Here is a 12,050-nt window from a genome sequence, read left to right on the forward strand (position 1 = left end):
TTCATTTTTATTATAAAAACCTATTTTTGCCTTTTAGTTTAATTTACACTGTTTAAAATTTTTAATGAAAACTTCAAATAGAAGAGAGAAATTCGTAGTATAACACTAATCGCAGGTTTAACAATTGTCAAGATATTGTTACATTTGCATTATTGCACTCTTTCTTCTTCTTTCCTTTTTGTTATATAGCTATTTTCTTTTGTGAGACCTTCCATTATTTTATGCTTAAAAATGTATATCTTGATCTCAGTTAAATATTTATTCATTACATTTCCCTGTAGCTCTTAAATATTTTTATTTAAATTTTGAATCCGTCAGGAATTAACGTTTTTATAAGGGGAAATCTAAGGTCTTTGATCACTTAATTTAAAATCAAGTGAACTAACATTAAACCAACCAGTAAGAATTAAATTTTAACCAACACAGTAGTTGAAGTTTGGAACATAGCCAAATTAAAAATGGATGATGGATGATAGTTGAAAAAACAAAAAAGAAAAAGAATAGAAGTAAACACTGTTTATATCTACATAGATTGAATTGTGAATGAAAGTGTGACTGTTCTGAATCCAGTAATATATCAGTGTTCTTCTCTCCTTAAATGATTTTTGTATCCCATGTATTTAATAAAGTTTATTTTTAAGAGTTTTTATGTTGTTAAACAGCCGAGAGAAGCAAAAGCATGACTGTAGAGATAGATTAAAATGTCCCACCATGAAGATGAAGTTCTACATTTTAGGAATTTTGGAGTTTCAAGAAACATAAAGAATTTCCTGGAAAAAAAAGAAGGGATTCGTATGAAGCCTGGTTAAGTTTTGCACAGGGATTTAATCTAAAAAAAGGATCCAAGTAAAATTCTTATTTTGTTGCATATTTACAGGGTGCGTCTTACTATTCCTGTACCCATCTCTTTGTATCTAATTGTTGTGTGTTTGTGTGTATGTATTAATCATTAATTAGTTCTCTTTTCCCTTACTGATTCTTCTTTTTCTCTTTGTAGTACTAAAATCTAAGCCAGGTGTTAGATATGCCTATATGAAGTTCAAGCTTTGGTTAGAGACAATATAGTAGGTTAATACAAGTCAGAGACTTCCTTATTTTAGTTACACATTACAATAGAAAGCCTGTTGGATTTTAAGAGGCTACTTTTATATGGTAGAATGCTGTGATGAGGCGATGTTGACAGGCTTTTTAAAAAGTTGGTAAGTAAAGTGAAGGAGACAGGTGCTGTAGGTTGAGTTTATTTCCTTGTTTAAGGAAAGTGTTTTGTTGTTTTTTTTTTTTTACAGTTTTCTTGTTTGGTTGCTTTTGGTAGATATGTTGAATACCTGAACATTTCTCCAGTTGGAAGGAAGGGAAATGGAACCCATTGCACTGGTAGGAAGGCTCATTCAGGGAAGTAAAGAATGTGTATTAGGATCCAGAGAGAGGAAAGATTCAGGAAGAGATGTGTACAGCCGCAGAAGAAAGATGATGGAGGTCATGCTGGGCTTTAAACATCTTATTTATCTAGAATAGTGCCCCTCAAAAGTTAATGTGCATATAAATCACTCAGGGATCTTGTTAAAATGTAGATTCTTGCTTCAGTAATCTGGGATGGACCTTCTGAGTCTGCATTTCTAATAAGCTCCCAGGTGATGCTAAGGTTGCTGGTCTGTAAGATAATGTCTGTATTAGGGAGTTTTGGTTATTAAAATGTTTGGTCTAGAAAATGAGAGTTTACATGACAGTGACTTCCGCTGTTAAAAATCGAGGTTTGTTTTAAACCCAAACAACCATAGTTGAAATATAGAAATAACATCACTTTCAGTTGTATAACTCATTTTATTAAAAAAGGAACTAAGCTACCTTGAAACTTTACTGAACATTTTTATATTTTGTGGCACTTCTAATCCTATTTTATATGCCTTCTATTGACCTTTTATGTGGTGAGTTGCTTTGAAAAATCCCTGAGTAACAATGCAGCCTGACCCTTTCTCCCTAATATTTCCCTCTATTCCCTATTGATCTGTCATACTTTCATTCTATCATACACAGAAACAGTGTTTTTAACAGCATTTTAATACAAATGTTTTATTATTTAAAGTAACACTATAAAGTCATGTAATGCAAAGTGTATGTTTGTCTTATTTAGAAAAAGTTTATTTTTATTATACTAATTTTTCAAAGTCAACATATTTAATCAACTAATAATTGTTGTTTTTGCCTAAGTATTAATTCCTTGGCTTATCAGCACCATAAGAGTATAGGATGGAAGTACTTGATTGTTAACTGGTCATTAAAAATGGCTAAATATGTTTTATCTGCCTTAGGTTATCTAGTGATTTTTCCACTTTTTAGTATTGTATAGAATCAAAGATTTTCTTCTTCTTAGTGGACACAATCTCCTTTTCCCTTTTCTTTCAGAGGCAAAGATATAGGGTACTGATATGATTTGTTTTAATTTTACGATAATACCAATTATAAAGTAAATTTATTTCTTAATGAATTTTATTAGACTCTTCAGGCTCTTAAACCACTCAAAAGTAAGTTAGTAGCAAATTTTAAAAATAGAGACTCCTATATAGGTACCTGAGAGGTCGAAGTATTTTTATTTTGATTTTTTTGGTGGAATTAAAGAATTTTGGACTTTGAATCACAGCTTGGATATTAGTAGTGTAGAATTTTTCATTTTACAGATGAAGAAACTAAGGCCTGCAGATTGTTCCTTTGTCAAGCTCTACTTAACTGCCAGTCCAGTTTTCTTGCTGTAGAACTTTATATTTAGCTTCAGATCATTAGTATATTTTCCTATCTCAGCAGGCTGTTACTCAAGAATATTTAAAGTATACTTTATATTGCTTAACATTGCATTACTTAATGGTAATTATCAAACGAGCTAATTATGTCAGTTTTCTTAATGTTTATTACCATTTTAGATGAAAAACTATGTTAAGATTTGTTTTTTAGTGAAAATTATGTAGAGTACAGGAGGACCAATCATGCTAACACTTCAACTTTCAAATAATCTTCCAAAGTTTACAGCCATAAGCATATATTTTTTAAAAAGCACAATTTATCTTTGAAGTTACCAGCTATTGCTGAGAACCATTAACTGTCAGAACACCGAAAACCTGTAACAATTATAACAAGAATTGTAACTCTTACTATGTTTAGTTATCAGTCCACACAGATTATCAGTCATCATTAAAACAGTTAAAAGGCATGCTCCTCCTGAGCCCCTCCTTCAGGTATGTGTTTTGGACATTATCTTTTCCCTTTTGTTTGCTTACAACAGGAAGCTCGTTTAATCCTTTGCTTTGTTTTAGAGGTAAGCAAATAGCAACCATCCCTGTTAGCTTTCAAAAGCTCTTACTTTTGTTGCATTAATGGCACTCACTGTAGATTGTGTGATCTTGCTTTATTTACCAGAAAGCTTGCCTTTGAGAGCTGTCACTCCATTCTTTCAACAATGTTGTTAATTGACTGATAGCACTGATTGAGTGGAAAACCTTCAGTGACAAAAGACTGGATATAGGTGTGAGTCCATTTGAAAGGCTGGTGAATCTTTGCTTCTTAATCCCATTTCTATTTGCACTGAAATACTAAATACAGCCTAGAAGAACAAAGCATATTTAAAAGCATTCAGAAATGTTAAGCAACAATAAAACCCCGTAACCATTTAAATGACAGCAGCTGACTATTTGAATTAACTTTGTGTTTGGCTTAATTTGGGGCCCTAATTATTCCTAACTTACGTGAGTAGATTTCAATTATAGTATCCTGCAGGGATTTGTAGCTAAGGCAACTAAAAGAATCATTTTACATAAAGTACTTTTGTTCAACTGATTAGACAAGTTAAAACGTAATGATGTAAAATTGAAACCCTTCTGGCAAGGTCCAAACAAATGGTTCTAGTAATTTTGTCCAAAAAAGATTAATCTAAGTTTGATTTTAAATACTATTTTGGTCTTTTAGGACGATTGACTTTCCTGTAATACTGATAAGTATATAAAAATGCCTTAAGATTGCATGTTTTGGTAAAGGAGTAAGACTTTAAAGGTGAGGACAAATTTGTCACAGTGGATGGACACCTTCCTAAGTAATGTTTATTTGCTTTATAATCTTCGATACACAGTTTGACAGCTTTAAATGCATAGATTTAGAAGATAAATACATACAAATAACGTGAATGACTAGTACCTATTTAATTCTGTATTTTGGAATACATTTCAGTTGAACACAGATCAGAGGCTCATTTATGGATTTGAAATGCTATATACCAAGAAGGGACACAACATGGTTGACATTGTGCTATAGTCAGTGGACAGACTGTTTGACTCGTCCTGCCGAAATACTCCTCCCCACTACAAACAGCCACATTAATTTTAAACACCTTTACCAGAATGAAAGCTACTTTAAACTTAATTACTGGTGCTGGAGCACAATATTAAAAAAAGCATTAGCCAGCATCCATAGATCATTTTGAGGCTTAACCATAGCATTTCACTGGAGTCTTACAGCTGTCTAATATCAGTCTATTGTAGTGAGTGAAGTTAAGAGGCAGCAACTCTGTTCTATGTCTTGTCTTAGCACTGCTTTAAGTTCTCTTCGTTGTCTTCTTTCTCCCCCTCCTCCTCTTTTACCCCTTCTTTCAGTTTTTGAATATCTACAACATGTGAGTCATTGTCTTTTCACACTTGATATTTTCATTATTTCCTTTAAGCTAGTCAATTCTATGACCTGTTTTTCACTAAGTGAAACAAAATCTAAAAGGCATGGTGTGAAGTTCACAGACCTCACCTTTTTGACTTCAAAGTGAGGTTTTCCTCCCATAGCACAAATGAAGCTATATAACTGCTTCTTGAAAACAATGTCAATAAATTCATTCTTTGACCTATTCAGTTCCTTTTTGTTCTTTAGTATACTTTTTGAAAGCTAGTAACCTTTAGGAGGCTTTTTCTAATCTAAACAGGAATCCTCTGAATTTATATAGCAACACAGTACAATACAGTAAGCCACAAGTAGTTATTGAACACTGGAAATGTGACTAATGTGACTGAGAAAATACATTTTTATTGGTCAGAGCAATTTTATAGGTACTTCTTTCCTGTAAGGCTTTGTTGTTGTTGCTGTTGTTACCTCTTTACACCTCCTTTATATGTTTCAGCTAATTCATTGAAGTTAAGCACAATGTTTTATTTATTTCTGTATTTTTCATAGTGCTTAGGCATTCAAAACTATTTTAAATGATTGAGAAGCACATTCAAAGAGACTTAGTACCAAAGCTACATTTTAAATATATACTTAATTTATAGGGCAGGGATTTCACTAATGATCACCCAAAAACCAATATGGTTAGTTTATGAATATCGAAAACAAAGGAGTGTCCATGCATGCATAGTGTATATCTTGCAGGAATTCAGCCCTTAGGATTAACAGCTAAGTATACTTTAAGCATATTTTAATAATTATAGCAAGCCCTAGTTATTTACTGCAGCCTCAATTCTTATTAGGAGATTTTGATAGTTGTTTAAATTATTTGGATGGTAATAACCTACACTGAAGTCAGCTAACGTTGGCTTCTCTTCCCTAAATATGGAACTTCCTTCTTAAAATCCATTGATGAACCCAGCTAATATTGCCATTTGCTTTTTATGGTTTGAGAATATGTTTTAGAGTATAAGTAATTATGAAGGTATCAGTTAAAAATGATGAGTAATGAATATCTCTAGTCATTTCGAAAATTCTTGTGATCTTGTCTTGTGAATTCTTTAGTAACTAGAAAATCCTCTGTGATTTTAGCTTAAATATAAGGAGGACATTTTATCTTCATAATGGGTAATGATGTATTTTATTATAATGATATTTTATATAGATTTATACATCACACCTGAAAATATATTACTTTTTTGGTTCTTAATGACTTTTGGCTCTTTTTCTTAATTACTTTACTGTTAATATTAAAATGTTTATAGCTTGTAATTTATAAAAATTCGTAGCTTTTTTGGGGAAATTGTCATAAAATGCCACTTAAATTTGTGTGTGTGTGTGTGTGTGTGTGTGTGTATGTGTATGTATTCTGGCTGTCAGAATTTCTTATTTTCCACGTACGTTTGCAAATGAATTTCTGATTTACCATTCTGTCTCTGGGTCTAATTTAGAAAAAGAAGTAGTAAATTCTATGTTTAGTAGAAATTGAGGTAAATGCAGAGTACAACTATAGGATTTTTTTTATATATTAATTTTGAAGAGGAAAGCATCTGACTTAGAATGGCGAATTAAAAAATTATTATATTCTGTACAATGATGAACTATTCTAGCTTCAAGTACTTGGTAACTAAAATGTTTGCTCAGTAAACGTAAGAATTTTTCATTGACATATTCAGCATGGATTTGAGGTTTCAGAAGTGCTAGTTTCTAATCCTAACATCTAATGGTTCATTACCACCTCGTTTTAAAACAATAGTGATATCTCTCAAATGAAAGCATTATTTTGTCAGACTTTATTCCTGCATGGTTTACATTTGTTTTAGAAAGTCAGTCCACTTTAAAAATGAAAGTTTGGTACCAGTGAAAGTAGCTGAAAAGAATGTATTGCTGTTTGATAAGTCAAATAGAAGAGGAGTGTTAGAACAGATGAAAAACCTTCCAGGTAACCGCCTGGTAAGAGAAAGATGGAAAGATATAGCTTCTTTTCGGAAGAGATACTTATGAATCTAATCTGAGATGTATGTGGGAAAAAAATTTTTAAAAAGCTGTATTCTGTAAGCATAGTTGCTATGTTTGTCATTTAATAATGAAGAGAATAAGAAAATTCTCCCCGATACAACATTGACTTAATTGTCCTTTTATAATACTTCTTCAAAGTATGATCATTATGAAATGAAAATGTGAAAACACTTGGAGGAAATGAACCTCCATGGATTTGAGTAAAAATTTATTTTCCTTTTTATTTAGCATTTGCAAGTGTATATCTGATGTGCCATGCTGCCTCTAGCTGTGTGTCTCGCTGGCTTATTTCTGTTCTCATCCTCTCTGTCAACTTAGAAAAAAAATTAGTAAATTCTGTGTTTATTAGAAATACATACTTTCATGGTTTTGACAGCTGAGAAGTACTGTACTATGTAAATAAAGATATACCAACATAATGAACTTTTTAGCTTTATTAAATTATTTTTTAACTGTGCTTAAGAAAAATCTTATTGGTATTTAATCTGTATGAAGATCTGATACTTTAAATTTAACCTGTAAAAATCAACATTTTTTTGGTATAGTAGAAAAACGAACTGAACTGTCAGGTCATTCCAAGAGCGAAGAGGCAGAGGCAGCTGGTCCAGAGGAGAGGCTCTAGTTGGTGCATAAAAAATATATGTCAGCATTTTGACACTGCATTCTTTTGGGGTATCTGTTATCACTGAATAGGAAACTGTTTCAAATTGACAGGCAGACAGAATGTTGTGCTGAATGTGTAAATTGGAATTATCACATCTAGCAGTTCCCTTCACCAGGTGCTGGGTTGGAACTTGGTTCTCCACTAATCGAGAGAGTGCCAGGAATAGTTTTATTTGCTAATTATCCTTCACCTCTTCCAATCTAGTTTTTTTAGTAAACAGCTTGCCTGGGTGTTTTTAGGAATACCTAGCAGGACAATGTACGACTGCAGGTGCTTATGTGGCAAGAGGATGCCATACAGAACACTGAAAACACCTATATCCATCTGTGTGAAAAAGATGATTGCTTTCAAGGGTTTTACCCCCTAATGTCCTGAGAATGCTGCTTGTCAGTAGTTTGTTGGCCCAGAGATCCTGGTGACGGCAAAAAAGTGGAGGTTGGTGTTTTTAAGAAAACTGGAACATTTTATTAGGTTTTATCTTTGAATCTCTTTAAAAACTTTATGATTTGCAACCTATGTGAATAAGCAGTGAAATTTTCAAAGACTGTAAAAAATGAAAGCAAATAAAGTATTAATAAAGAAATATTAAAGATGATTTTTTTGTTTCTTCGAGCTTTGTGGTCTTACTGGAAAGATTTACTATAACATGATATAAGGTTAAGGTTTTTATTTTTCTGTCATTTTTTTCTAAGAAATTGTTTCATAATATACTATGATGTTTGAGAACAAAATTGAGAATTTTATGCTTTATAAATTTGTATCACAAGATGTTACTAAATACTGCTCAAATTAAAGCAGTATTTGAGCAGTATGCTCAAATTGAAGCATTTATAACTGTTACCTTTCTTGAAATTTAATAAGTTGGATCACAGAATTATCCTTTAATTCTGTTAATCATGTTTTCTTTTTTTGTCATAAATATATTTTTAAAAGAGTTTATGGCCTGCCTTTTGCCTATTCTATGGGCAGTGAATTTTCTTAATAAATTTTCCAATGTAGGTTGCATTTTCTGTTTCTGTTTTCTAATCATCTTTGCATTATGGCAAGATAAATGCCAAGTGCTCAAAATGAAGATTTTATGAAAATGTTTTATAGTTTTCCTTGGACTCTGAAAGTTGTCATGGCATTTCTACAGCCATTCACATTACAGGGATACTGCCGAACCACTGGATTTATCCTGTCAGCTTTGATTTAGGATTAGGCAGTGTAGTCATTTGTATTGACTTGGTCTCTGTTTTCTTTCACTGACATACCCTGTAGTGAAATTACATTTGTACGAGTATTTCATGGGAAAGACAGAAAGTATAATATACTCAAAGGCAGCAACTTTTGGTGTAACGTCCAGTGGTTCAAATTCTGACTCTCATCAGCTATGTGAACCTGTACAAGTTATTTAACTTGGGTTTTCTTGCTTATTATAAAATTGGGAAAATGCCTCTATTTTAGAACTGTTGATGCTTAGAAATGAAATGTTTAAACATTTATTAATCAGTGATTGTTGAACATTTGCCATGTGCTCAGACTATGCAGTGTGCTAGGTATGGGTATTATCTTAAAGGAACTTAACAATAATGGTGGTACCTTATGACACCTAAAGGGGAATCCAGAGAGAGCTGCATAGGTGGCATACTCAGCTGAAACTCAAACAGCAGAGATATCTGAATGAGCAAGAGGTGACCAGCTGAGAAAAGTTCTTCTGAGCTCCAGGAGAGTGTGCAAAAATATTGCCACTAAGAAATGGGGTGAATTGCAAATAGGTCAATGTGTGCCGAAGGTGAGGGGTGACAAAAGATAGCTCTGGATGAAGTTGGAGCCAGATGACTCATGTGGAAGAGTTAGAATTTGATCATGTAGGTGAGAGATAATCATTGAAAAATTTCAAAGGTGATTATATATTTTTATTCTGGAAGTATTTCTTTAGGCTGGATGGGGTTGACTATTGAAAGCGTTGAGAATATTGAACAAGTTCCTGTGGGACCAGGGAATTAACATAAACAAGTGAAGTAGACAGGATATAAAGAAATGATACAAAACTGGAAAGTGCATGCTTGTCTAAAGTAGGCAGAAGCCAGGCACAGTGGCTCGTGCCTGTAATCCCAGCACTTTGGGAGACTGAGGTGGGAGGATCACTTGAGGCCAGGAGTTAAAGATCAGCCTGGGTAACATAGATAAGACCTTGTGTCTACAGAAAATTTAAAAAATTAGCCAGGCATAGTGACATGCACCCATGGTCCCAGCTACTTAGGAGGCTAAGGTGGGAGGATCACTTGAGCCTAGTAGTTCAAGGTTGCAGTGAGCCATGATAGTGCCATTGCACTTCAGCCTGGGCCACAGAGCGAGGCCCTGTCTCAAAAAAACCAAAAAAACAAAACTAAACAAAATCAAGTCGGCAGGTGCTATTCAGCTTCAGGTGATTATTTTATCAGTATTTTGATACTTTTTCTTCCTCTTCTTTTTCTTTTTCTTTTTTTTACTTTTTAATATTTTTTCCTTGCAAGCAGGAAGTTATGATACATTTTCAATGCGAATATGTTGTCAATTGAGCTGATATTTTTCCCCAAGAAAAGTCGGACATTGGATTTGAATGTTACATCCCCATATTTTGAAATGTTGGCAGCTAATTCAAACAGACACTGAGGGGGCAAATGAAATATACCTGTGAGCTGAATTCATCCTGTGGTCTGCCCATTTGTGCCCTTTTTCTTAAAAAATAAGATTGTTGGAGTAATCCAAGCAAGAAAGAATGAGAGACTAGAAAAAATATTGAATGAGAGTAGATAAAAGGAATGAATTGATGAAATTTCCGAAGTCATATTCACAGTAGAAGTGAGGCAATTTGGCAGATCGCTGATGAGGGAAAGGGTGATTTATATAGTTTGTTCGTGGTAAGGGACAGAAGCTGATGTTTGGGAATAAAGTAAACTGGACTTTCTTGCAGGCATCCAGGGGAGGTCATATTGCCCAGCTGGTCCTTGTGGAGTTTGGAAGGTGGTGTGGAAACTGGTCATATATAGCACAGATGCATAATCTGAAGCAGCAGGTGCTTCTGGGACTCTGGTTACTTGCTTAGTTGTTTGGCTCATGGATTCCCTTTGTATCTACCTGCTTCTGCCTAATAGCAACTAGCTGTTCTTTCCCTCAACTCTTTTTATTTTTTCCCCCTTGCAGTTTTGTTTTAGGATATCTGGGGTACTTCACCCAGTCTTGTGCCACCCTGTCAGCTGCAGCTCTTTCTCTAGCTCTGGAATTGCTTCATGTTTCCCAGTTCAAATTCTTGAGAACAAGAGAAACGTATGGGCTTCTTCTTTTTGTATGAAGCCACAGCCTACATTGGTCTGAGGATCATGGACTGATTGCCCTTGAGTCAAAGAACCATGTCTTTTTCGATCAGCTGTTTTTGATTGCTGGTAGGGTCTCAACTGTCAGGCTGGCTTTGCCCCTTTAGCAGTGCCTATCAGCAGATCATTTGAGTTAGAATAAACTGAGCACCAGCAGAAATGGTGATTTATTAAATATATCTAGGCCTGGTGAGTGATGAATGTCAGGAGTCAAGGTGGATCAAGAATTCACCAAGATAAGAAATACAAGATAAATGGATTTGATGGCTAATTTGTGAGCTTAGTTTAATGAAGTTACTGCCATTAACAATATAATTAATACTAGTAATATGCCAAAACTTAGCCATGCTTATTTGTAGGGCATACTTAATTACAGAATTAAAAAAAAAATTAGGGCCTTAATATTCCATGATTTATAACAAGCATTTAATGTGAGGCTTGCTTTGATCATTAAATAATAAACATGTTTAATCATTAAATAATAAACATGAGTAAAGTTTGGGAAACTTTTGTTATAGATACATAGAAATAACTAGATTTTAATGTCTCTCTCATTTTGTACTTTTAATTTAAATCTAAAAACAATGACTGCACTTGTCAGTCCTTTACTGGATATTAATCACTGTAGTAGGTGCTTTTTATTCATTGTCCTGGATAATGTTTCCAACAGCTCTGTGAGGTTTATGTTGTTTTGTTACATTTTAGCCAAGGAAACTTATGCACAGTTAGGTGACTTAGGCAGGGTTAAATGAATAATGAAGTGATGAGATTGATTCATTCCCAGGTATGCCTGACACAGAATTCATGATGCTTTCAATTTGCATAATAATGGAAATCCATTTTTATTTTTAGATTTGGGATATTTCTAGATGTATATACTGTGGTATTTGTGGTTTAATCATGCATAATTTTAGCAACGCATATATATGTAAAAAGGAAATGACTTTAAAGGTTTATAAATGTATAAGCACTGTTCACACTTGAGCTAGGTCTACTGCAGACAGCCAATTGAGAAAGTGGAAGATGTTCCATTCAACATATGCTTTTGTCTTTGATGCCGGACATCTTACTTAACTCTCTATTATAATTGCGTTGACTAGATATTTTGGCATTGCGTAGTCACCTCAGTAGAAAAGCCTTTATCAGCCCACAGACGGTTCTTTTTGGTGGCAACTTTCACATATCAGCTTCTTCTCTCAAATCAGCATCCATTGACAGCTTCTGAATAGAAAGGATTTTGTTCTTGATCTATAGAGATGCAATTGAAAGATTATATTGTGATTTGAATATAACACTTCTTATTTTAAATTTCTCGGTTCTTGATACAAGACAATATTAAA

The 12,050-nt window shown here is 33.6% G+C and overlaps 1 protein-coding gene across 64 annotated transcripts in view, besides 1 other annotated feature; it reads left to right on the forward strand.

Annotated features, from left to right (window-relative positions):
• The window catches only part of ADGRL2 (adhesion G protein-coupled receptor L2), a 687,801-nt gene that overhangs the window by 539,587 nt on the left and 136,164 nt on the right, over positions 1-12,050 (forward strand). The window lies entirely within an intron of this gene.
• Positions 2,950-3,732: an enhancer, noted in NCBI's record as "OCT4-NANOG hESC enhancer chr1:82314353-82315135 (GRCh37/hg19 assembly coordinates)". NCBI's record gives its function as "activates a minimal SCP1, AML or CMV promoter by ChIP-STARR-seq in naive H9 embryonic stem cells {active_cell/tissue: H9 hESC(naive)}" and the evidence as "EXISTENCE:reporter gene assay evidence [ECO:0000049][PMID:30033119]".

This window comes from Homo sapiens, chromosome 1 (genome assembly GCF_000001405.40).
Source record: "Homo sapiens chromosome 1, GRCh38.p14 Primary Assembly".
NCBI classification, from domain to species: domain Eukaryota; kingdom Metazoa; phylum Chordata; class Mammalia; order Primates; family Hominidae; genus Homo; species Homo sapiens.